This window comes from Homo sapiens, chromosome 12 (genome assembly GCF_000001405.40).
Source record: "Homo sapiens chromosome 12, GRCh38.p14 Primary Assembly".
In the NCBI taxonomy this organism is placed as follows: domain Eukaryota; kingdom Metazoa; phylum Chordata; class Mammalia; order Primates; family Hominidae; genus Homo; species Homo sapiens.
The window spans coordinates 21749607-21776139 of NC_000012.12; the positions used below are offsets into that span (position 1 = coordinate 21749607).

General features: G+C 39.1%; 1 protein-coding gene and 2 long non-coding RNA genes across 3 annotated transcripts in view, besides 5 other annotated features; 1 reads left to right on the plus strand and 2 right to left on the minus strand.

Moving 5' to 3' along the window:
- The window catches only part of LOC102724261 (uncharacterized), a 32260-nt gene extending 23996 nt beyond the window's left edge, over positions 1–8264 (minus strand). The window contains exon 1 of the long non-coding RNA XR_429056.4: positions 8167–8264. This is a non-coding gene — a long non-coding RNA (uncharacterized LOC102724261). The remainder of the gene's footprint in view (positions 1–8166) is intronic.
- KCNJ8-AS1 (KCNJ8 antisense RNA 1) overlaps positions 1–26533 on the plus strand; it is a 166949-nt gene that overhangs the window by 87294 nt on the left and 53122 nt on the right. The window contains exon 2 of the long non-coding RNA XR_007063241.1: positions 10308–10479. This is a non-coding gene — a long non-coding RNA (KCNJ8 antisense RNA 1). The remainder of the gene's footprint in view (positions 1–10307; positions 10480–26533) is intronic.
- KCNJ8 (potassium inwardly rectifying channel subfamily J member 8) lies at positions 15349–25100 on the minus strand. Its single transcript, NM_004982.4, has 3 exons — positions 24940–25100; positions 23637–24080; positions 15349–17017 (listed from the first exon to the last, which is right to left on the minus strand). The coding sequence occupies exons 2-3, from the start codon at positions 24008–24010 to the stop codon at positions 16117–16119; spliced, it is 1275 nt and encodes a 424-aa protein (NP_004973.1). The 5' UTR covers positions 24011–24080; positions 24940–25100; the 3' UTR covers positions 15349–16116.
- Positions 23458–24456: an enhancer, noted in NCBI's record as "H3K4me1 hESC enhancer chr12:21925998-21926996 (GRCh37/hg19 assembly coordinates)". NCBI's record gives its function as "activates a minimal SCP1, AML or CMV promoter by ChIP-STARR-seq in primed H9 embryonic stem cells {active_cell/tissue: H9 hESC(primed)}" and the evidence as "EXISTENCE:reporter gene assay evidence [ECO:0000049][PMID:30033119]".
- Positions 23689–23983: a silencer, noted in NCBI's record as "tiled region #9497; K562 Repressive DNase unmatched - State 4:PromP". NCBI's record gives its function as "represses a minimal TATA promoter and a strong SV40 promoter by Sharpr-MPRA in K562 cells {active_cell/tissue: K562}" and the evidence as "EXISTENCE:reporter gene assay evidence [ECO:0000049][PMID:27701403]".
- Positions 24457–25454: an enhancer, noted in NCBI's record as "H3K4me1 hESC enhancer chr12:21926997-21927994 (GRCh37/hg19 assembly coordinates)". NCBI's record gives its function as "activates a minimal SCP1, AML or CMV promoter by ChIP-STARR-seq in naive and primed H9 embryonic stem cells {active_cell/tissue: H9 hESC(naive and primed)}" and the evidence as "EXISTENCE:reporter gene assay evidence [ECO:0000049][PMID:30033119]".
- Positions 24457–25514: a biological region, named in NCBI's record as "H3K4me1 hESC enhancer GRCh37_chr12:21926997-21927994".
- Positions 25297–25514: a silencer, noted in NCBI's record as "fragment chr12:21927837-21928054 (GRCh37/hg19 assembly coordinates)". NCBI's record gives its function as "represses an EF-1alpha promoter that drives an FKBP-Casp9 reporter gene in an ReSE screen in K562 erythroleukemia cells {active_cell/tissue: K562}" and the evidence as "EXISTENCE:reporter gene assay evidence [ECO:0000049][PMID:32094911]".

The window sequence follows — 26533 nt, forward strand, 5'->3', positions numbered from 1 at the left end:
CACTACCTGACTTCAAGCTATACTACAAGGCTACAGTAACCAAAAGAGCATGGTACTGGTACCAAAACAGATATATAGACCAATGGAACAGAACAGAGGCTTCAGAAATAACACCACACATCTACAACCATCTGATCTTTGACAAACCTGACAAAAACAAGAAATGGGGAAAGGATTCCCTATTTAATAAATGGTGCTGGGAAAACTGGCTATCCATATGTAGAAAGCTGAAACTGGATCCCTTCCTTATACCTTATACAAAAATTAATTCAAGATGGATTAAAGACTTTAGACTTAAAACCATAAAAACCCTAGAGGAAAACCTAGAGAATACCATTCAGGACATAAGCATGGGCAAGGACTTCATGACTAAAACACCAAAAGCAATGGCAGCAAAAGCCAAAATTGACAAATGGGATCTAATTAAACTAAAGAGCTTCCGTGTGGCAAAAGAAACTACCATCAGAGTGAACAGGCAACCTACGGAATGGGAGAAAAATTTTGCAATCTATCCCTCTGACAAAGGGCTAATATCTAGAATCTACAGAGAACTTAAACAAATTTACAAGAAAAAACCAAACAATCCCATCAAAAAGTGGGCAAAGGATATGAACAGACACTTCTCAAAAGAAGACATTTATGCAGCCAACAGACACATGAAAACATGCTCATCATCACTGGTCATCAGAGAAATGCAAATCAAAACCACAGTAAGATACCATCTCATGCCTGTTAGAATGGCAATCATTAGAAAGTCAGGAAAGAACATATGCTGGAGAGGATGTGGAGAAATGGGAATGTTTTTACACTGTTGATGGGAGTGTAAATTAGTGCAACCATTGTGCAAGACAGTGTGGCAATTCCTCAAGGATCTAGAACTAGAAATACCATTTGACCCAGCCATCCCATTACTGGGTATATACCCAAAGGATTATAAATCATGCTGCTATAAAGACACATGCACATGTATGTTTATTGTGGCACTATTCACAATAGCAAGACTTGGAACCAACCCAAATGTCCATCATTGATAGACTGGATTAAAAAAATGTGGTACATATACACCATGGAATACTATGCAGCCATAAAAAAGTTGAGTTCATGTCCTTTGCAGGGACATGGATGAAGCTAGAAACCATCATTCTCAACAAACTATCACAAGGACAGAAAACCAAACCCCACATGTTCTCACTCACAGGTGGGAATTGAACAATGAGAACACTTGGACACAAGGAGGGGAACATCACACACTGGGGCCTGTCAGTTGGTGGGGAAATGGGGGAGGGATAGCATTAGAAATACCTAATGTAAATGATGAGTTAATGGGTGTGGCAAACCAAGACAGCACATGTATACCTGTATAACAAACCTGCACATTGTGCACATGTACCCTAGAACTTAAAGTATAATAATAAAAGAAAAACAATCATCAAATTAACAAGTTAATGATTGAGATATCAAAAGGTACTATCACCTTGAGGAATATTTACAAGTTAGAAGTGTGTACAGGAGAGGCCTGGTACCTAACCAATGTCTGCATTGCAGATGCCTTCCTAACTGTGTGTTGGGGTGGGAGATAAAGAAGGAAAGGGTGTTACTCTAGAGTGACCACAGGCTCCACATTTACATGTCAACCCAAACCTGCTTTCTGCTCCTTCCAGATGCCCATGTTATTTGCAGTTGGCCTATTTGTCAAGTTGCTTCATACCCACAGAGCATCCGTAGAATCATCTGGGTTTCCTCTGACTGTATGGGGGTTGTTACTTCTATCACCTTTGGGGCACCAAAAGTAAAAGAGAACTAAGTAACTTAGGTAGCACTGAGCAGTTCTCAGCTGTGATTTTGGATGATGGGGATGAGGGTGTTGGAGGATGAAGGGAAGCGTTAAAATTTCCAAGTCTTCCTACTTTTATTTTAGAAAGTCAAAAGCTTTGTCGATGAAGTGAATGAGATGATCATGCTAGCTGAGTATAGGCTGCAACTTTCTTCATTCCAGACACATTCTGGAATAAGATTCCACAGCATAAGAAGCTTCCCTTGGGCCTGAGATGAAAACAAGGTCATTTTCCCAGGGGAGTAACCCATCGAGCAAGCGTTTAAAATAAACAAACGGCTTGGCTCTAGCTTGAAACAAGCAGTAGTTATCAAGATTTACTGCAACTGACTTTGGACCTCATCCAAATGTTGAATTAATGCAAGCTTCTTTCTAACTAAAATGGAGTTTCCTTTTTGGTAGATGCAATATAAAAACTCCTTTTCTCACATTCTGGTAGACTCAATTGTACTGTCACCCCCAACATGGGTCACTACCAGTTGTAGCAAGAGAAGCAGTACTTTCTGTAAGCATTGTTTAAGAGGTCTGATTTCAACTCTCATAAAACAAAGAAGCACAATTCATTTATAATATGCAAGCTTAGGACAGACTTCCAAACAAGTTTTTTTTTTTTTTTTTTTAACAATGTAGCAACTCTCAGTTAAAATCCCACCATATATATAGTATGTGGTTTTAATTGTATAATACCTGTAATATATGCAATTTTGGTAAATACGGTATGATCTTAATATTTTTTTCCAAACAACTGTATTATACAGTAGAAAAAGCAGTGTACTTTGAGTAAAGCAAACTAATTTGAACTTCTCCTAAACAACTTTTCCTTTAGGATCCTAATCTGATAAATGAAGAGGGCTGACAATCTCAGAGTTTCCTTTTAATTGTAACAGTCAAAGAGTCTATAGTTTTTCATTCTTTTCTACAAGGTGAGAAATGACTTAGCATTTCTAAGGAACCTCAGCTCTTCTACGCATGCTCTACTAACGTGCATTTAAATATAGGGATGCACAAATGAAGATGTGATTGGGGCTTGAGGCTCAGATTTCACAGTTACTGAATAATTGAAGCTTTGGAGTGAATGAGATTGTCTTGTTTTGGGAGAATGAAAAGACACAGGATAGAGAGGCAATAACTAAGAGTGCAAAACCTAAATATCACTAGGACAATGGACAAAGTGACCACTTTTTAAAAAATGTCAACTAAATATAAGATATGGCAGGAAGTAGATAAAGTGAGACTATGGGACCAGTACTTAGATTGGCTACAAGGATCCAGGATTACAGGTTAATGGTGTAGAGGAGGCTCTGGTAGCCTAACACCTAGAGTTCTTCTTAGACTTGCACATATAAGAGGATGCTTAGGGAGATTTTTCTCAGAATTGGCAACTAGGGCTCTACTCCTGGGGTCAAAGAGTATTACATACCACTATGTCCTATTAAGCGAGGGAAAACTTATATCCTCTTTACCCTGAACCCCTTAGCACTTATAATAGATGACAAAACCTGCCTCTGGTCACAGCCCTCAAACCTTCCTGCACTTTCTGTGCTTGTACAAGAAGACTGTGAGATGAGGGATAGTGGTTAAAGTCAAGTAGCATCAGATTGGTGGGAAGTTCTGTGGTTTTTCCTCCTACTCTCTATGAGACCAGTTTAACAGAATCATTCATGAAGCTTAGGGGTGTCTGTAAAATATGAAGACTGCCATCACATGCTCTGAAGGATGTTTCCTAACTTGCAGAACTTACAGGTCCTCTCAGATGGAGAGGGTGGGCCACTTTTTGACAAGCCTTTACTTGTGTTCCCTAGAATCTGCAAGGAGTACATGAATATAAACTCTAGCGTCAGCTTGTCATTTGGAGAAGGTATAAGGCTTGCTGGAATTGATTGTGACAACAGAGAGAAGAAACAGTGGTATAGTGCCCCTGGGAAAGTGGGAATGACCCCTCACCCCAGACAGGTTTTTTGTGGCCATTGCAAGATGCAGAAGAGAACTTCAATTCTTTTGAAGCTCCACATGAAGAACGAAGTGAAGGAAGATAGAGAATAAGGTAGGAGGATGGGAGTGGTCCAGGCTTACCCAAAGGAGACTGTTACAGATTGGAGTCTAAGATGGCCCCTAGTGACCTCAGCTTCCCTGTATTTACAACCTGTTACTCTCTTCTATCCAACAGAATATAGTAAAGATGATGGAATGTCACCTCCAGTATTTCATTATCAAGATCATAATTTGCACCTTGCTAGCAAACTCTCTCCATTGCTTTCTTGGCTTGCATGCTTTGATGAAGCAAGCATCCCTGTTGGGAGGCTCTTGCAGCAAGGAATTGCAGGTGGCCTCTGGCCAACAATCAGCTAGAAACTGGTCCTCAGTCCAATAGGTGCCAAGAACTTGAATTTTGCCCACAACCACATGAGCTTAGAAGCAAATCCTTTCCTAGCCAAGTGTTTAGATGAGACTTGCTTAATTAAGCCTCATGAGAGAACCTGGCTGACACCTTGTTTGAGCCTGATGAGAGAGCCTGCATCAGAGGATCCAGTTGCACCATGCCTAAATTTCTGAACCTCAGAAACTGCAAGATAATAAATGTTTCCTGTTTTAAACCATTGCATTGTGGTAATTTGTTATAGAGCAATAGATAACTAGTACAGAGACAGTGAAGGCATGGCCACTGGCAAAAAATAGAGAGTAGAAAGCCCCTTGCTGATGGGGTGCTTAGTAATGTAATAACAGTGCTAAGTCATCCCAAGAAAAATACATACACATCTTGTGGGTAGAGAGCACGACATTGGCAGACGCCACTAGAAACAGATGGAAACATATTGGATACCAGTTACATAATATATTTTCTACCAGCTCTTTTATTCCCTCCTCTCCTTAACACCCAGGGTGTCAAAAAGGAAGAGGAAAGCGATGTTCTAGCAATAGGCTGTTCCTCCAAGGTGAGAGAAGGGGAGAGGGATAAAAAGAGCAGACTACTCCCACCCCACCCATTCACTTCAAATCTTTTGGGCCACAGCCTTTCCAGTGATAGGGGAGTAAAAGTTTTCCATCTGATATATTATTGGAATTTTTAAGTAGACAAAGTTTTTGGAAGTCCAGAGATTTTTCTGCCCAACCTGGGAAGAAATTTGACATAGCATATACATAGGAAATGCTTGGAGAAAAATCAATGTGTTTTATATATATAATCCACCAAATTTAAACTCTTCAATTAACAAGTCACATATGAGTGCAGCCAAAAAGAAGTTTAAGGCTCTGAAAACCACAAGATGCTTTGGGAAGAGGCTTTAGACTCTGAGCTGTGACAAAATGCTTCAACATTTGAGATGCACCAAGAACTGCCTTTGTCTTCCAACACAGCCAATTAATATAACATGGAAATTCTCAAATGTTTGACAGCAGTTTGTCCATACCTGTACATAGACTCTGAGGAAGCCTGTCTAGAAGGTTTCTTGAATTATATATACCTGAGTCAAATCAGGATTTTGAATCATGGCAAGGTGGAAAAAGAAAAGGTCTTTCTAGAGAACAGCAAGAGGGGTAAGATTTAGCCTGTATAAAGGAAATAAATGACAGGAGGAGGGAGACTGATGGATTCAGAAGGGAGATTAGTGAATGTCAAAGTGAGGAATCTGAATTTAAGAAGGAAAGAGAACACCTTGGAGTTTTTTGAAGAAAAAATATGATCGTAGTTTCACTTCTATGAAAATTTCATTGCTAGTATGTTGAATGAGTGGGAAAAAAGGGTTGAAGATCAGATCAGAGTTCATTGCAATAGCCCAGGCAGCAGGTAATGAGGGCCTGGACAAGAATAAAGATAGTGTAAAAAGAGACAGATGCACGGGACATTGTGCTAGAGGAAATCTGTGATATTTGGAGACTGATTTATTAAGAAGGCCAGGGATAATTTAGGGGATAAGAAAAAGCAACTATAATTCAACACTGGTTCTCACCATCAAAAGATTACAGATGAGGGGGTGACTCCTAGAAAATACACAGAATTTGTTTTTTGCTATGTTGAGCATGCTCTCCAGCAGAATGTTTACAGTAGGTATTGAGTTAGAGGAATAAATGTATGTGTGTGGAGTGGCATCTAAATAGACAACTCAGATGAAACCACAGAAATAGATGGCCTGTGAGAGGGTCAGAAAGGTCAGGAGAACACCCTGCAAAGTAGATCACTGAAGCCCTAAAAGATAAGAACTTCCCAAAGGATGAGAGTGATCAGTAGTATTAAGTGGTAAAGAACACTAAGACATTGTGTTCAGTTTCATATTATGTTTTAAGATGATTCAAAATCCTGATTTCAGAGCCTTAATCTTCTTTTTGGCTGCACTCATATGTGGCTTATTAATTGAAGAGTTTAAATTTGGTGGATTGTATACATAAAACACATTGATTTTTCTCCAAGCATTTCCTATGTATATGGAGGTAAAAACTAGTCAATAAATCCAGTTAAAGGCAAGAAAGGTAAAAATAAAACAAATACATAAAACAGGGGGTGGAAAATCACATAATTAAGTTGAATTGTGCCAACAACAAAAGAGAGACACCTCTTGAAATGTGCACTATAGGGATTCTAGCGAATTAAAGTTAAATATAGTTTTGGTATTTGGTCAATTTTAGGTAGAATAGTCAAGCTATTTATTTACATCTACTTTTAAAATTCAAGTCAAATTCATAGTATGGTTCCCTTAGACCTATTAGATGCCCATATACATGGAACCATTTATTTTACTCAAAAAACAAAAAGAAAAAAAATCTTTGTCACTGATTTTTCTCTTAGAATTATGTGATTTATCTGCCTTTTCAACTACTAATTGGTACCATTGACTATCACAAAATAAATTCTTATATCAATGATTAGCTCCATAGAGACATCCTTTAAACCCTAAATCCAACAGAACTGTGAATTCCTTTGTAAAATCTTAGCATTAATTCTTGTGATATTTCTTGCCTTTTAATTCAGTGTATCAGCTGTTGACTCAACTACACTTTTCTTGTCACAGTAATGAAATATAAGATGAATGTAAAGAAGCCCATTGCTAGAGAAAATTGTAGTCTAAGCGATAAGGGAAGGTTAAAAATAACAAAGCAGAACCTGGCAAGGGCCAGGTAACCAAAGCAGAATAAATGGCATTGATTAATTAATTCATATATTTATCAAGCAAGGATTGGAACTGTTAAATATTGGAAACACAATAGTAAGCAAGATAGAAAATGTTCCTGGCCTCATGGAACTTGTAATCTTATGCTTCGGTTACCCTCCTTGCCCATCTCTGCCTGTTGAAATAGTGTCCATCATTCAAGACCCATCTCAAAGTCTTTTCATTCTTTGGACTTAATCTCTAAAAGCTATTCTCACATTAAAAATGTTCACATAGTCCTTTGTTTGCACAACACCTGGTACGGCCCTTGCCAGGTTCTGCTTCGTTATTTTTAAACTTCCATTATCGCTTCCATTACTACGAGAAGAAAAGTGTAGTTGAGTCAACAGCTGATAAATTGAAAAAGGATTGGCCCTAATGTGGTCATTATTGAGGGGGTGATTACTATGTGCAGTTCATTATACTAAGCTCTCCACTTTTGTATATGTTTGAAATTTTCTGTAACAAAAGGCTAAAAAGAGAAAAGAATCACATTTTTCCTCAATAAAACACAATTGGTTTAAAGGGTAATTTGCAAAAGGAATTCTGGGGCAGAATAATTTTACTTTGAATAACCACACAGGAAATCTTTTATTCAAATGTCAAAAATTTCATTTAAATTTGATAAGTTCCCTCTTGTTTCTTAGTTATATTTACCATATTCACCATTCCAGCATTCCGGATTAAGCTTTCTATGTTTCCCTGTAGCTTGTCTCCATTACAACACACATTTCTACAGCTACTGCAATGTTCTGAAAAACCTAGTTCCCCGTTCTTGAAATGAGTTCACCTTCTCTCCCAAATCCAGGGTAATACTATTGAGCTACAAAGACAAAAGTCATGCTAGAAATCCTTTCTGCTTACGAGTAGTTCCACCTAAAATGGAAATACTGTAAGTTGAATTATGTGTCTGGGTGATTTTTTAAAAAAGATTTATGGTGCATGTCAAATTAGGCCCTTTAGAGAGTGCCAAAATTGTGACCTGTCAAAGAAATATATTCATATAATTATAAACGTAAATTGCAACCAAATGTTAAGAAACTTCAAAGCATGTTGAATAAAACTTTAATTCAAATGCTCAACTCCATCCGTCTTCTTTGTCTATCACTTGTGGTAGCCCAAGTTATCTGAGGGCCCAAAGTACCATTGGCATTCCTAGAAGTCTCAGGCACTAGTTCCCCAGTTACTTACAGTGCAAATTATTGTCTGTCTGCAGACCAGTACAGATCTACTACAGCTCTGCAATGTCCCGAAATTGCTGTCTGCTCTGGCTTCTGTTCCCAGCCACTAGCTACCACCTCTGAACTTTGGATAGTTCCTGACTTTTGTTGCAAAACCCCTGTTTAGCGACTCTATACCTTCTTTTGAGTGAATCTGGGTAATAGGTCTCAGCTGTGATTGGTTTTCCCAGCAACTCCATTCTATCCTCTTTATCTTTTCCAGGAATTTCTAAAAATTTCTTTTCCACTGATAAGCCTTTCTTGTTTACCCAGGCTGCAGTAGATTAAGTGTGATTTTAATTTTTTTTTTTTGGGGGTTATTTCAAAGATAAGGGGATCAGCTGAAGGGATAGCTTACCATTTTGGGCTAAAAATCCTTCTCAGGCTCACTCTGTTTTCTAATGATTCTCTGGTTCTAAATTACTTAACCTCTGAGTGTACCTTCGTAGCCTCTGCTATAAAGCAGAGGAATATCAGAGAATCAGAGAAAGGGGTTTGATAGCCACTCTTGTTATCTCTTTTCCTGGCTTAAAATACTGAGCTCTAAGATATTCATGTTGTTTATGAAATTAGACACATGACTTGAGGAAGTGGTACCTTATGAGTTGAAGGCTGGGTAGGAGTTAACATTTTTGGTAGAAGATGGGGCCCATCCCTTATTGTTTTCCCGTGTAGTCACGATGGTTATTTTAGGACCATATAGAATAAATTCACTGGTTCTTTCCTTTTCATTCGTTCTTTATTGCCCTGTCTGTTAGAGTCTCTTTATTTCCTGCCCTTTAATTGACACTACCTTAGGAGCACCACCATACTTCTCCTGCTGCTCCTGCTAAAATAATATTAATAGTAATCATAATAGTTAAGATTTATTGAGCACTTACTATATTCCAGACACTGTGCTGAACACATTCTCATCAATACTTCAAAATAACTATATATATACATATAGTATAATAAGTATATGTATATTATATATAATATATAGCATACCATATAGTATATATAATAATATAAACTAAGTACTATAATACTAATTTACTCAATATATTAAGTAAATTGAGGCTCAGGGGAACTTGTTCAGGGTCCCACTACTGTAAGTGGCAGAGAAGCCAGGGCTGCCTGACTCCAAAGTTCCTGCGTGTAACCACTGTCTTGTAATATATCTTTGCAGGCACTTTTTGGTAAATGTCTTTGTTAGGCTATAGTCTATAGGCACCTTGTGGTGACTTGGTTTATAATTTGTATCCCCAGGTTTTATCACAATGCCTGGTACAGAGCATTGTGTAGTAGTAGTCCTGTAGTAGTTCTGTAGTAGTCCATTGTATAAACATATTGATACTTACATATCCATTTTATTGTAAATGGACATTTGGGTTGTTCCCAGTTTGGACCTATAGTAACAGTGATACTATAAAAATTTTTTATATAAGTATCTGTAGATGTACCTAAAGTGGAACTGCTAAGTCATAGCATTTGTTGTATTTTATTTTACAAGACTCTGCCAAACAGTTTTTCAGAGCAGTTATGACAATACACTCTCCCGCTTGTAGTATGTTTAAGTTCCAGTTGCTCCTCATCCTTTTCAACACTTGCCCTTATCTTTTTCAGTTTAACCATTCTGGTAGTGTGTAATGGCATTACATTGTGCTTTTCACTTGCATTAGATTACTACTGAGATCAAGTACCTTTGGATATGTGTGTTGGCTTTCTGGATTCTCTTTTTTGTGATGTAATTTTTTCCTATTGTTTGTCAATTATTTCTATTTGGGTGCCCAAGTTTATTTTACTGATTTCTAAGAGTTTTTTATACATTCTAGAGATGAATTTTTGTAGAATATGAAATTGAAGATATCTTCTGCCATTCTGTGGGTTACCTTTGCATTTGATAATTTAGCATTTTTATTATTCAGAATAGAGGCCAAACTGTAGTGTAGTAAGAAAACATGCAAACAAGCAGTCAAAAAAAAGAAAAAGCCAAAAACCTACCAAAATAAAATAGATGTTTATTCTCATCTGTGTAACTGGCTAAAATTAGGAAGCCCAGGCTTGCAAGGCCCTGTTGCACAAAGTGATTTGCTGTGCCAGGTTACTTCCGTCTTATTTACTCCACAGGTTTTATCTTCATCAGCCTGGTCAAAGCTGGATTTCCATCACACATGTGCTCACTCCACGGAACGTGCAAAAGGTCAAGACATACAAACTCAGAGTTTTTAAAATCAAGAATTGAAAGTGGTCCACTAGCTTCTGTTCATAGGACATTGAGCCCCAGATTTGGCACATGACCGTAAGTAACTGACACAGCTACTGGGAATGTGTAATCTCTCGCTGGATATTCATATGTCCAGCTTAAACTCTGTTTCTATGAAGGAAAATGAATAATGGATTTTGGGGTGGTAACTATCAGGCTACTATCGCCATCTATTTAGGCAAGCACAGTGATAAGTAATTGGGGAAAGGACTTACAATCTAGTGGAGAGAGATGTCTAGGATATTCAAAAGCTATATAATACCAGTTATTATGAAATAACCAATAAATAGAGGTAAACGTTGTAGGGATTAAAAAAAGGAGTGATTTAGGTGGAGAATTTGAGAAGGTTTTGTAAAAATAGTAGTTTGTGGTGATAGAGAAAGCACAGAATTTCAATCTCAGCAACTTGCAGAATGTGAGTGAAGCATTCAGTAAACTTGAAGCTTCATAAGGTGTTGTGGGTAGGGTTAGAAAACCAGGCAGGAAAGGTGTGTTGGAATCAAACCACAAAGAGTCTTGACTATCATGTGTAAAGAATGTGAACTTTCTTCAACAATCAATGGCAAATAAGTGAAGCCTTTTGAAGTACTATAAACTTCAGTTTTACAGACAACTGTTTTAGCCTCCACTTTTCCATACCCACTGAAGCAATCCACTAGTATGTGGAAATCTAGCTTTAATATTTTTGTTCCTTCAAATAATTAAGATAAACTCAATGTAAGGCAATAGTTTCATTCCAACTACCCCAGGGAGTATTGGAGTGGAGGAAGGAGTGCCATATGGTACAGCCAAGAAAATCTTCATGAGAACGGGAACACTTCTTGAAAAGAGTATTCATGAAGATGTAAATAACCTAAAATGAAAGTGGGCTCCAACGTAATATTTTGATCTGAAGCTAAAGACTGATTAAGATTTTCTTGAACTTAAACTTGAATCAGTGTGATTATCAAGGGGTGTAATTAAGAGTCACATCCTTTCTAGGTCTGTGGGGAAATTCCCATCACCATTGATGAGAATTGTGCATAAAGATCATGGGAAGAACATGGCCCTTGGGTTTCCTCTTAAACAGCCTGTAGGATTTGTTATGGTTACTTTAATGCACTGGTCCTTGGAGACACTAACTACAGTTCTGCCTCTACCTTCCATGCTGAAAATAACAAAAGTTGGGAGTGGGAGCCCCAGGAGATGTAGATATCTTTTCATTCTTTCTTCTTTATCTACAATTGATTTATTATCAAAGGGAAAACTGGCTCCATGAATGCCAAGTCGCTAAACAACAACAACAAAATGAATCCAAATATTGGAGGGGAGAAAATGCTGCCCTATGTTCATTAAGCGAGTAACTTTTCTGCAAGTTAGACTTTCTTTGGGAACTAAGGTCATTTCCTTCAGCTGCTGGGAAACTGTCGGTTCTGAGACACACTTATGTGTCAGAACATTTTGGCCAGGGATATTTAGAAATGTCTGTGAGCAAGGGCAACAATGATTTTCTTTAGAGAGAGTCTTGAGCTGAGATGCAAACAATAAGGAATTGTCGAAATAAAACTATGGTATGGGGATAAAGCAGGAAAAATGATAGTTCTAAGGACAATGTTCTATTTTCTCATCCAGCTCTCAGCAAAGCTGTATGTGCGACAGTTCTAGGTCTTCCGTTGTCTTCCCATGCCTACTCAGTAACTAGCAGTATGTTTTGATTTTGATTTTGAGATGAAAGTGTCTCTTTTCAAATTCTGGCATGTATTCCAGTTTTTCTTACCTGATACTTTTCATCTCTGATTACTTACTACCAGAATCAGCATGTACCCGGGCTATCAATTTCTGCTCCTCCTTAAAGAAAATAGACACACCTAGTTATTTTTGGCAGATGATAAATGTCAGACATGGCAGACATTCAATATATATTACTAAATGAATAAATAAATGATAGACAAGTGCAAGCAGAAATCTCTGTATGCAAAATGTTTCCTTTTTACACGTTGTAGTATTTTACACATGACAATGTTTGAGGACAGGCAAGTGTCTGTTAAAGGTGTCAAAGGATCAGGAAAAGCAACTGGGAGTGGGCAGATATAAGGGCCTCTGCTGCAGAGGTTTTAAGAGATCAGATTCATGTTGCAAAGTGCTTTTATCTCTGTCCTAGAAAAGAAGAGTAATGCAATGACTCAGTCATTTACTAAGAAGCAAATTAGTTGAAGGTAATCCTTCTTTTTTTTCTTTTATTGCCTTTTGCCTTTTTTGAAATAAAGGAAATCCTTTATTTCAAGTGTTTGTCCTGGGCCACTGAATTATACTCTTTTAAGCCCTTTATATATGTTAACTCACTTAATCCTCACAACAAATTTGTGAGGTAAATACTATAATCATTCTGATTTTATATATGGGGAAACTGAGGCACAAAGAAGTTAATTTTGTCAAGGCCTTACAGATGCTAAATGTTAACATTGAAATTGACACCTAGGGAGTCTGGCTTCTGGGTCTGTTTTTATAACTATTACACTGTACTTCCTCACGAGGTGACACTCGAGCAGAGACTAAATAATGACAGGGGAGACTCATGAGGCTTTCTGAGGGAAAACTCTCCAGGTAGAAGCAAATCTATGATGCAGGAGCCATATGTCTCTTTCTCAAAGAGCAGAAAGGCCAGTGTGGTAAAGTGTAGGAGTCTCTGAGGGGAAGAGCGCTAACAATGAGATGTAGTGGCTTGTTGGCCTTGGTAAGGATTTTGGTTTGCATTTTAAGAAAAATAAAAAGGGCTGGGCACGGTGGTTCACACCTGTAATCCTAGCACTTTGGGAGGCCGAGGTGGGCAGATTATCTGAGCTCAGGAGTTTGAGACCAGCCTGGGCAACATGGTAAGACCCCGGCTCTACTAAAAATACAAAAAATTAGCCAGGCGTGGTGGCACGCACCTGTAATCCCAGCTACTCAGGAGGCTGAGGCACGAGAATCTGTTGAACCTGGGAAGCAGAGGTTGCAGTGAGCTGAGATCGTGCCACTGCACTCCAGCCTGGGCGACAGAGTGAGACTCTGTCTGCAAAAAAGAAAAAAAAAAAAGAAAATGAAAAAGGCAGAAGAGGGCTTTAAGAAGAGGTGTCATGTAGTTTGACTTGTGATTTAAAAAAATATTGTGGCTGCTGTATGAATTATGGAGGTGGAAGAAAGGGTAGAAGCAGAGAACCAAAATACTGAATATAAAATAATATTTAAACACAATATGTAAGTCAAAATCATACATGTACACATATATATGTACAGAGTCCGTCTTATCTTCTAAAACTATGTAGTTCTCAAAATTGCTTACCCAGTGAAATATGTTTTAGCAAAAATAGGTCAGAAAATCATTTTAATACTCTCTAAAACATTTTCAGACTTTTAGAAATTGTTGATAGAACCTTTTGTTTGGTGTGGCTGTCTCTAGCTAAATGATGTCCCTGTCTGAGCCACAGCTTGACATAGGGAGCCCCTCATAACCTTTCGTTGACATGCCCATTATATTGACAGTCATTAGGTCCTTGACACTCAGCGTTTAGTTGCAGCTGGAAGGTGGCTGGGGGAACTTCCCGTACTCCATAGCTAGCTTTGCCCCTGGTGCCAGGGAATTCTCTAGACCCTGGACTCAGAAATTTTGCATCTCAGCTCCACTATGTCCTGACATCACCTGTTGCACAGCCTGTGTCACCTCTACAAAGTTGGGCTACTACTGAGCAGCAGGAAGGCACTATCCATGTTCTTACTGCTGGATTGTGTGGCAGCTACCTCTGGGTCTGCTCAGCTGCCCTGGGGTGGGAAGGTGGGAACCTGCATCTGTTCCAGAACTGCTTTGAGGTCTGATATCCACCTCCATAGTTGCTGTTGGGTTAAGTTTTATTAAGATAGTCTTTAGCAACCTAGACAGAAATGTTTTAATATTCAAACAATTGGTACAGATGCATGCATATATACAGTATCCTTGCTTGGACTATGAAGGAAGTGGTGGAGTAAAGAGAATTGGTCATATTCTGGATATATTTTGAAGGCAGAGCCGAGAGGTAATTGCTAATGGATGGCATGTAGGGTATGAAAGAGGCAGCAAGAATGACTTCCAGGTCATGGCTTGATGCCTGAGTGATTGGAAGAAAGACTGGGAGGAGGGCAGCTTTTGTGAGTGAGAATGAAGTATTTGGTTTTAGACCTAGTAAGTTTGAAATGCTTGTTCAATCTCCAAGTGGAGCCTCAGGTGCCTGTTTGATCTGTGAGTCTGGAGTTCAGAGGAACAGTTAGAACCCTTTCAGGAATGATTAACTCAATGACGTGATAAACAGTTTCTGTTCACCTGGTTGGAATCATGAGTCTTAAGATAGAACATTTCATAATTACCTATTTCAATGTTCATAAATACAAACCCCCAAATCTGTGTGAAAGATTTCACAATAGCTCAGCTTTCTGATGTTTAGCTATAAAATGTAAGAATAAAAGCATATATAGTTTATTAACCTAGTACTTCTCTCTCCTGTCTCATCCCTTCCTTGAAGAAGCAGGCACTAAATATGCTTAAATGAAGCTTTGATAGAAAATCTCACTTTAGCAAATGAGATGATGCTAAATCTATAAATGCCAAGCCTAAATTCAGATACTACTGGGAAGGAAGTATAGTTTTAAGATGGGAGATTGAAGATTAAAAAAAAAAGCTTATAGGATTTTTATGGTATGTCAGGCTTAGATTGAAAAACCAAGAGGACATTTTAAAACCTGAAATAAAATCAAAACAAAGCAAAAAAAAGCTAGTTTTGGAGCAAACAGACTTGAGAGAGAGGAATCTCAGAGTGAGTGTTATCACTTTGACATCTCTTTTACATGGCTCTAAAAACATCTTGAGTTTTAACTTGGGATGATTTTGTGAAAGAGGAATCACAAAACTACAGTGAGTACAAAGAAAATGTTTTAATAAAATATTCAATACAGTATTTCCCTGTGGGGATTCTAGAAGAAGAAGTGAGATGCTGAAGGAAGTGACTGTCACTGTGGGGAACCCAGTCCTAAATGAGACAAGACTTAGCTTTCCTTCAAAGACACCTTGTCCAGCTCTGCCCAACAGGCCGCAATGAGATGGACCAGGAAACCTTCAGGAGTCACCGACAGACAAAGCGAATGAACTGAATCCACTTACAAACAGATCCACTTAAGCAGTTTTTGCCTCAGGCTTCCTACCAAATGCAGTTATCATGGAGACAGGAGAAGGCTGATGTACAAAACGCATTAACATGATTTTGTTTTTTCCCCTCCTATTCTATTTGCATTTCCAGAGTGATCATTAGTAACACAGCGATCTGGGTTTCACCAACTAAGCATTTCAAACAGACTCATTTCTTGACCAAATTTTGTGCTCAAGGCCTGTTACTATTAGTGTAATTCTTGTGTTTCAAATTGAGAGAAACGAGCATACCCACCCCTGCACATAACTTAAGTATATCACTGCGAATTCTACATGTATGAAACAAGCATAAGCCATGAATCCTCCACTTGGTGTGTTACTTTTTATTACTACAGAAAGTGCTGTTGCTTGAATATGAATATCATTTAGTGTAATAAAATGTAGAAGGACACATTATTGTGTTCCAGCTCTGGTTCAGTCTGGCAGTGCCCAGCATAAACCGTCAAAACTTGATAAAAGACTGTCTTGGGGTTATCTTGCTGTCATGATTCCGATGTGTTTTGATTTCCTTCTGGAGTCATAAATTGCACCTTTGGTACCATGAGGGAAGAATTGTTCCTTCGGATAGAATTGTTCCTCCTCATGGAATTGTTTCTTCTCATGGAGTTGCGCTTCCTCAGAGAATTTTGATGAGACAGTTCACTCTTTTGGAGGGTCTGAATAAGGATGGAAGGTTTCTCATCCAGCTCTCGGGCACTGCACCGTGGAGCAGCTACTTTAACAGTGTTGCCAAATTTGGAGTAATCCACAGAATACACTCCTTCTTCCTCAGTCACAATGGACACAAAGCGGTGGCCCCATTGGATCTCCTCAGCAATGTAGGAGGTTCGTGCTTGTGTGGTGATGCCAGTAGTTTCAACCACTCCTTCCAGAATAACTATGACCTCCAAGTCTTGGTTGGCCAGGTCAGTTGCTGAGATGTCATACAGGGGACTGCGCTTGTCAATCACGTGGCAGATGATCAAAGGGGCCACCAGAAAAATGTTATTGCTCTCGATTGGGTTATCAACAGGAATGTCCAGTTGGTGAATAGGAACCACCTCCCCTTCAGGTGTAGTTGTTTTCTTGACCACCTGGATGCGCACAGAGGCACTAATGATCATGCTTTTCCTCAGGTCACCCACTCGGAACATGAAGCACAGCTTGCCATTTCGGACGGCAATCACAGCATGGCGGCTGAAAATCAAAGTTTCTGCCCTTCTGTGAGCCTGAGCTGTTTTCATGAAAATGCAGCCTAACATGACTGCATTGATGATCAAACCCACAATATTCTGGAGAATCAAAACCGTGATGGCCAAAGGGCATTCCTCTGTCATCATCCTCCCTCCAAACCCAATGGTAACTTGAACTTCAATGGAGAAGAGAAAAGCAGAAGTGAAAGACCTGTGAGGAATGATATCAGAAAAGAACACCATCAGGTCACATTTTGAATAATGAAATATGCCAAGCTGAGCTTTTCATTTTCTTCCACCAAAGACTATTAAATGCTTGCAGAAAGACTAGCCAACTTAAACTTGTAAAATGCCTAATTCTAAACTGTGTTTAGAACAGTCTCTCTCTCTCTTGCATGCATCTACCTCCAGACTTCTGGAGATTAACATTCTATTAATTAAGTTCCCTTAAGCTAAGGCCTAATTCTATTAACATTCTATTAATGTTTCATAGGTCACATAGTGATGGGCCTAATTTGTGTAAAAGATTAATATATTTTCATATATATGCATATTTTACCTTGCGAAATACTTCACTTTCACAAAGGCACAGTTTACTTTGTAAAACTTTCTACCAGGTAGATGTTTATTATTTATTGCGTATCTATGTTTAGGAGACTTGAGTCATATGGAAGGTACTGAGTACTGAGTGAATTTATTATTTATAATCTTTAAAATCATATTCATTAGCTAATACTTATTTTGTGTCTCATATAGAAATAGCACAGTGCTAAAAAAACTAGTATAAAACACATTATTCCAAACAACTAGTATTTTTAATAGAAGGGAGTTGTTTTCCATTTGGAAAGAAAAGTGTCTTATTGATGATCTAATTTTGTTAAGTCAGGGGTCCCCAACCCCCCCCCCCCCCACCTCCAGGCCAGGGACCAGTGCTGGTCCATGGCTTGTCAGGAACTAGGCCACACAGCAGGAGGTGAGTAGTGGGTAAGCCAGCATTACCGCCAGAGCTCTGCCTCCAGTCAGGTTAGTGGAGGCACTGGATTCTCATGGTATAGTGAACCTTATTGTGAATTGCACATGTGGGAGATATAGGTTATCCCTCCTTATGAGAATCTAATGCCTCATGATCTGAGGTGGGACAGTTTTATCCCCACACCATCCCCATCCCCCACCCCCATCAGTGGAAAAATTGGCGTTCCGCAAAACCAGTCCCTGGCTCCAAAAAGGTTGGGGAGCACTACTCTAGGTGTTCTGGAGAATACTGAAATGATTAAAGGGAGAACTAGGGGCAGAAACTAGTAAATGACTGTGTCAAGGTCACATACAGATATGCCTTATTTTATTCTTCTCTGCTGTAATGTATTTTGCAGATACTGCATTTTTATAAATTGAAGGTCTGTGGCAACCTTCATCCAGCCAGTCTATTATCACAATTTTTTCAAAACGTGCTCACTTTGTGTCTGTGTGTCACATTTTGGTAATTCTCACAAAATTTCAAACTTTTTCATTATTATTACATCAGTTACCATGATGTGTGATTAGTGATATTTGATGTCATTATTGTAATTGTTTAGGGCAGCAGTCCCCAGCCTTTTTGGCAACAGGGACTGGTTTTGTAGAAGACAATACTGGGGGGTGTGTGTGGGGGGAAATGGTTTCGAGATGAAACTGTTCCACCTCAGATCATCAGGAATTAGATTCTTACAAGGAGCCCGCAGCCTAGATCCCTCACCTTCGCAGTTCACCGTAGGGTTCACACTCCTATGAGAATCTAATGCCCCCACTGATGTGACAGGAGGCAGAGCTCAGGAGGTAATGTTTGCTCCCCCACTGCTCACCTCCTGCTATGTGGCCTGGTTTCTAACAGGCCACAGACTAGTACTGGTCTGCAGCCCAAGGATTGGGAACCCCTAGTTTGGGGCACCATGAGCCATGCCCATATAAGATGGCAAACAATCGATAAATGTGTGTGTTCTGAGTCCTCCACTGACCAGCTGTTCCCTTGTTTCTTCCCCTTTCATCAGGATTTCCTATTCCCTGAGACACAGCACTATTGAAATTAGGTCAGTTAATAGCCCTACAAAGAACACTAAGTGTTCGAGTAAAGGAAATATTCGCTGTCTCTCACTTTAAATCAAAAGCAAAAATGATTAAGCTGGTGAGGAAGGCAAGTCAAAAGCCACGATAGGCCAAAGTTTAGGCCTGTTGTGCCAAACAGCCAAGTTGTGAACAGTGGAAAGAAAAAGTTTTGAAAAAAATTCAAAGTGCTACTCCAGTGAAGACACAAATGATAAGACAGCAAAATAGCCTCATTGCTGAGATGCAGAAAATTTGAGTGGTCTGGATAAAAGACCAACTAGGTCACAACATTCCCCTAAGCCAAAGCCTGAATTAGAGCAAGGCCCTAACTCTCTTCATTTCTATGAAGGATGAGAGGTGAGGAAGCTGCAAAAGAAAAGTTTAAAGCTAGAAGAGATTGGTTCAGGAGGCTTAAGAAAAGAAGCCACCTTCAAAACAGAAAAGTGCTAGGTGAAGCACCAAGTACTGATGGAGGAGCTGCAGCAAGTTATCCAAAAGATCCAGCTAAGAAAATTAGTAAAGGTGGCTGCACTAAACAACAGATTTTCAGTGTTGAAAATGAAACAGCTTTCTATTGGAAGAAGATGTTACCCAGGACTTTCATAACTAGATAGAAGTCAATGCTTGGCTTCAAAGCATCAAAGTTCAGGCTAACTCTTGTTAGGAACTAATGCAGCTGGTAACATCAAGTTGAAGCCAATGGTCATTGATCAATCTGAAAATCGTAGAGCCCCAAAGTATTATGCTAAATTGACTCTGCCTATGCTCTATAAGTAGAACTATAAAGGCTAGAGGACAGCATATCTGTCTGCAGCATGATTTATTAAATATTTGAAGCCCACTGCTGAGACTTACTGCTCAGAAAAAAAGATTCCTCCAAAATATTATTGCCCATTGACAATGCTCCTAGTCACTCAAGTGCTCTGATGGAGATGTAGAAGGAGTTGATTGCTGTTTTTATGCTTATTAACACAACATCCATTCTACAGCCATGAGTCAGGGAGTAATTTCGACTTTTAAGGCCTATTACTTAAGAAATTTACATTTCATAAGGCTATTGCTGACATAGATAGTGAGTCCTGTGATGGAGCTGGGCAAAGTAAATTTAAAACCATCTGGAAAGGATTCACCATTCTAGATGCCATTAAGAACATTTGTGATTCACGGGAGGAGGTCAGAATATTAACATTAACAGGAGTTGGGAAGAAGTTCATTCTAATTCTCATGAATGAGTTTGAGGGGTTCAATACTTCAGTGGAGGGAGTCACTGCACATGTGGTAGAAATAGCAAGAGAATTAGAATTACAAGGGCATTCTGAAGATGTGACTGAATTGCTGCAATCTCATGATAAAACTTGGATGAATGAGGAGTTGCTTCTTCTGGACAAGCAACCAAAGTGGTTTCTTGAGATGGAATCTACTCTTGGTGAAGATGCTGTGAACACTGTTGAAATGACAACAAAGAATTCAGAAGATTACATAAATTTAGTTGATAAAGCAGTGGCAGGTTTTGAGAAGATTAGCTCCAGTTTTGAAAGAAGTTCTACTGTGGGTAAAATGCTATCAAACAGCATCACACATTACAGATAAATCTTTTGTGAAAAGAAAAGTCAATTGTTGCAGCAAACTCTTCATTGTCATATTTTAAGAAGTTGCCACAGCCACCCCAACCTTGAGCAACCACTACCCAGATCAATCAGCAGCCATCAATATCAAGGCTAGCCCCTCCACCAGCAAAAAGACCACATCTTGCAGAAGGCTCAGATGAACATTAGCATTTTTTAGCATTAAAATATTTTTTGAATTGAGATATGTATATTTTTCAGCCATAATGGTATTACACACTTACTAGATTACAATATAATATAAATGTTTTATATGCACTGGGAAACAAAAGGTTTGTGTAACTGTCTTTATTTTGATATTTGCTTTATTGCAATGGTCTGGAACCAAAACTGCAATATCTCTAAGGTATACCTGTAATTAATATTATACTAACTTGAATTTTCTCACTTTGGCCTAATCCTGTGAAAGAAGCAGAGGGAAGGAACCAAGAAGTTGTAGGATTTTCTTGGGAAGCTTTTTCAAATTGCACATCTACTCCCTATCTTAGTGAATAGACATTGATTTGGTAGGCTGAGGTTGGATCTGGGTAAGATGCTTTTGAAAAGTTCTCAGGGGATTCTGATTTACTCCCATATGGGAAGCACCACATTTGTTACTATCAATTTATAACACTTAATTTCACAACAAGTACTGCTGTGGCTTCTTCATAGAAACAATATTAGTTCTATCTTTGCCCCCAACCACAATTTCAAACTTCTCTAACTTTATAGAAGACAAGCCTACACATTAGCAATCTCTCAAAGTATTACCTATTTATTAATGCTACAGACAGCAGGTGAGAAAAATGTTTAAACATTTGAGTACTTGGTATGTACAGTGCACTTTGGTAGAAAATTATGAGGGATAAGCAAGAATACATGGATTATTCTTTTGATTAGCTTTTAAGTGAAGTGCGAAAGTTGCCTTTCTCTTTTGTTGCTAAAATGATTCATGGAAAACTACAGTAATTGCCTATTGCACTAACTACCCACAAAAAGATATCTGGTATAGCCCCAAAACATGGCAAGAATAAAAATGGACCCCAGAGAAGGGGTATGGATACAACACTGATTTCTGATAATGTATCCATACCTCAGAGAGCAGTCTAATGATAAATATCCCAAATAGTTTGTTTTAATGGTTTAAGAGACTATTCATGAGCCACATTTTGTATATTGTTTATGAATTCTAAATATTACATATGGTACAAGACCCAGCTTTTTACTGACACTTGCTATGCTAAACAATCTCAAGAGATAAAAGTGTTTAGCTGTTTCTTTGTTCTGTTACAGAAAGAGGTAGGCTGGATAATATCGAGAAAGAGGAAATATATTGGTCTATTTTTTGACTCATATTAAATGGAGTCAAAGAGACTCCTTGCAGGAGAAAATACATGGAGGAGAAAATGAGTCACCCTAAGAGAAGAATGGTCAAACATTATTTGGAAATACTGGTGAATATTCAATGAAAAATGTTGTTTCCAATTTTAGTGATATGGTTGGACATTGAATTCACAAAGGGAAAAATGCAAAGAATTAGAATTATTATTAGTCACCTTTTACATTCTCATTGGGAGAGAATGAAGATTTTTAAGGTTTGCTGTTACCATTTCTTTTTTCTCTTTTTATCAGTATCATATAATTTAGATTAAAACTTTATTTTGATATGAAAATGATTCACCAATTATCAGTGCCAGTAAGTTTCTTAAAGATATATATTATAGATAATGATATTTGATCTTAGAGTATCTATTGAACGTTTTAACGGATATTTTAAGTATTGTGTTTTCTTTATATCTGGTATACTGATGATCTATGTTTTCCAGCTGCATTTTCTTTGAGACAACAGTTTGTGAGAAGTTTGAAAAAAGAAAATAATATCTAATCAATATTAAAAGCAATAGATCAATTCAATACAGTTTTTGCTGCTCAGAATTTGAGCTGAAATCTGTGGTGTGTGATCTCTGCGCACTAATGCTGCCTTCCTCCTTGAAAGGCTGGCATTGTAGTTCCTTAGCAAATGGAAGGGTGGACAAGTTCACAGTCTGGGGTCCACTTTCTGCAGTGATATGCTAGCTTAATAAGGTTTCAGGGTCACTAGAGGTCCCATTCTTTACAGTTTCCTGGTATCATAATGCTTTTTCAAGTTTCTTTGCTTTGTGAATTATGTGAATTTAAAATGTTCTTTTAAAAATGTTTTGGAAAATTTTCCAGTATTATTACTACTCTTTTGCTTCACAGTGAACATCTTGGTAATTGATATAATTTATCTCTTTCCACCTCCCCCCGAAAAAAACAAAGAAATCACCTCAACTAAATGTTCTTAAACCATGTGAAAGCAAGAGAGGTGAATCACTGAAATCAATTTACCTGTCTTTGAGATACTTATGATATGAGAAAGAAGCCAAAGTTAGGTAATCTAAGAACTATCTTGTCCCTATTCTATTTAAACTTTGAAAGAAGAGTACAAAATTAAATTGCTTCTATATAACCCCTTCCATAAAATTTTGGACTAATTGTCATTAAAAATTAGCAATTTCTAGTTCTGAATCTTAGCATAACTTTTAATTTCTGAATCCAGTGCAAGCAATCAGCTATGTTATGATAATCTCGATAAAGAAGGGATGATATTTATTTCATTTTTTAGTAGATTTTTAATCTAGGACACTCTCCCCCTAGGGCCTTCCCATTTTTTTCTTATTATTTCTGAAAATGTCATGGGTTAGAAGAGTCAAGAAAAATGTCCACTAGCACAATATTTTTTGTTGATCAGAGATATTTACCTGTGGGCACTGAAACTATGGACAACAGCTTTTTCATACTGAACTCAATGTGTGCGCTTTTGGAGTAAAGCACTCTGTGTAATCCTTTGAATTACAATTTTTTTTTGATAACTGGTATAACATTTTCAAGGCTAGTCCAAAGGACTGAAGCTCAGGTTTTCAGAGACTCTTCTCCATAAAGCTGCATTTAAAAAATACTTACTGTGTTAGGTGTTGTTCTTTATTGTGCTTTTTTGTTTCTGAAGATTCTAAAACAAACCCTTTATTTCACTTTCAATTAAATAACAGAATGATAAGAGAAAGGGCATTTTGACATTTTTTCTCTACTGTTTTCAACCCCTGCCTCATCCCACTACATTCTTACCTGACATTAGTCACACACACAGTGGACTCCAAACCACTTTTCTCCATTCCACTTTTCTCCATGTAAGCATAGATGTCCCCATGGGCAAAGGCCACCAGCCACCACATGATAGCGAAGAGCAGCCAGCTGCAGAGGAAGGACATGGTAAAGATGACCAGCGTGTGGCGCCATTTCAGGTCCACCAAGGTGGTGAAGATGTCCTGTAGAAAGCGTCCTTGCTCACGGATGTTCTTATGCGCCAGGTTGCAGGCCCCGCTCTTGGCGATGAAGCGGGCTTTGGGGAGGCGGTCTCGGATGCGCGGCTTGCGCAGGTTCTCTGCGGCGATGCGCGCCAGCACATACTCCTCCGGGATGATACTCTTTCTGGCCAACATCGTCCTGTCACCATAGCCAGCTTAGCCACCTCCCTCTCACCTGCCTCTCCGTCCCTGGACACCCGTCCTCCTGCACGAGGGAAACATTTATTAAAAACTTAAAAACCCACCCTATCCTCACCTCTTGGGTCCTTGTATTCAAGGATATGTCTGTACATGTGCGAGGTGACATGCAAAACCAAAAATGTGATTTTTACTAACCCAAACATGAATCTAGCTTGTGCTTGAGTTCTGGGATCTCAGAAAAATTACTTGGTTTTAATAAAAAGAACTGTTTCAATTTTTCTTATTCTGAGTACATATGGACATAGCCTTAGTTAAACAAAACCAGGAGCCTTCCGGTAAACAGCAGGCTCAAAGATAATTCTCTGCGATTAACCGCGTCTGTAAATTAGTGCAAGGCTACAGCACGTGGCGTCAGTCATGAAGATTAAGACCAGTTGGGTGCACGATCTACTTATTAAAGTACTTAGATGATGTAGCAATATTAAAAGTAAAGAGAGAAAATTCTTCCTCCGTTATTTTTAGAAGTAAGCAAAGGCCATGACTCCTTGCGCAGTCTAAATAACGTGTAATCTGACAAAATTATAATAAGTGGTGTGCTATAGAATTTATAAGTTATAAGAATTATTTTAAATGCGAAAGAAGTATGAGTTGCATCTAAAAAGAGTTAAAAAGGTTCCTGTGGAAATCATAATATTATAAATTGAAAACTTTTTTTTTTTTTTTTTTTTACAACGAAGGAATCAAATATACAAGGTGCGGGGGGGAAAAAACCCAAGACAACAGCCTGCGGGTTGCAGTAGGGAGTGTGCCCCGAAAAGTCCATCCATCACTGCAAGCCTCTGCGGTGTTTTGCATTTTAAATCATTTACGGGAACACGGACAGCCTCCCCCCTCCGCTCCCCCGGAGCAGCTTTGAAACTTACAGACTCCGGGTAGCGGGCGCGGCGGCTGGACCTCCTTGCACACGCCGGCGGGCCGCGGGCAGGTCCCTCGCTCTCCCATGCTGGCGCGCGGGACCAGGGGCCGCCCAGGCCGGAGGGACAAATTGGGGGCTGCGTGTCCTAAGGAGAAGAGTTAAAATAATAAAAGGTGCAACTGAATCTAAACGCAGGGAGGGCTAGAGGAAGGGGGATGGGTGTAGATCTTCCCCTCCCCCTGCTCAGCTCAACTCCCTTGGCCACTTCAGTGGAAGGAGGAGGGACTGGGGGGGCGGGGGCGGGGGGGCGATGCTCCACAAATCAGCCTCCCAGTTAGGGCTTTGACGCACGCCAGACCTCGGAAGCCGACGTTGTCGCGGAGTAGGGGGCGGGCGGGGAGGGGGCGAGCGCAAGTCCCCGGGAGGTAGGGAGCAGGCCAGAGGGAGGGACGACCCGGGGGAGGGCGGGACCTGCAGAGCCAGCTCCTTTCCAGTAGCCGCGACCCCCTGCCGCCAGCGTGACACACAAGTCTTTAAAAGGCTCTCTGCTCAGGGGAGAGAACTTTCTGACTCCAAGTTCACTGACGTAAGGAGATTTAATTTTAATTTTATTTTGTAATCTAGGTAGATAACTGGGCTACTTCATGATAACTGGGCTACTTCGGACTGAATAAAAGCAGAGAGGTCAGAAAATATTCTTCCAAAGCGTTCAAGCTGTGGGCACACACAATTATTTACATTAAATTTCCACCTGCTAGGAGAGATACAGGTGGAAGATGTTCTGAAACCCACTATAGTAAAGTATTTCTTCACCAGCCAAAGCCAGTTCTCAGGGAATTAAACACACACACACCTCAAAACAGCGACTGCCCCCCACCACCCCCGGCCCCTTAAGGAAAAGAAAGAAAAAAAGAAACCACTGACTGGCTCCCAATGAAGAAATTTTACCCCAAACAGGGACGGCCGTTAACACTTCAGCGCTGATAAGGCCAGGTCATTCGGTCCTCAGTAATTGGTTGCTTTCTGAAATGTTGCAGCTTCTTCCTCTGTCTAGATGGGTCTGAATGATAAAACAGCATTTGCGCACAAAAAAGGTTATACAATAAACATCTATAGCTTTTTGAAAAGGAGCCAGCGAAGACAAATGTGCTTTTTCCCACAGGTCAAGCCTCCTGATTTTGGCACTTGCGTTAATGGAAACTTTAATTCTTGGAAGTTCCACGTATTTTCCAAGACTCGAGCCGAAAGTGTATGGAGCATAAACAATGTATTCATTTAATTAGCCAAAGACCTAAAATTAGTCTTTAATGAAGGCAAATTAAGAACTTTTTTTTTCTCCTTGTGGTTAGATCTCCTTAACCCCTGTAAGCCCAGGATCCTAGTTTGTTAGTGGTAGTCCTCCTTTCTACTGTCATTAATTTTTGCAGTAATTTATGTAGTATAATAGTTTTACAAGTCTATGAAGAATCAGTTTGTATAGTCAATTCCCGCCATTGTTCTATTTTACCTTTGACTTTGTACACATTATTATTCATTATTTTAGCCTGGGGAACATTTACTGAACACCTTTGTAAGCTTTTTTTAGGTTTATGTGTCTAGAG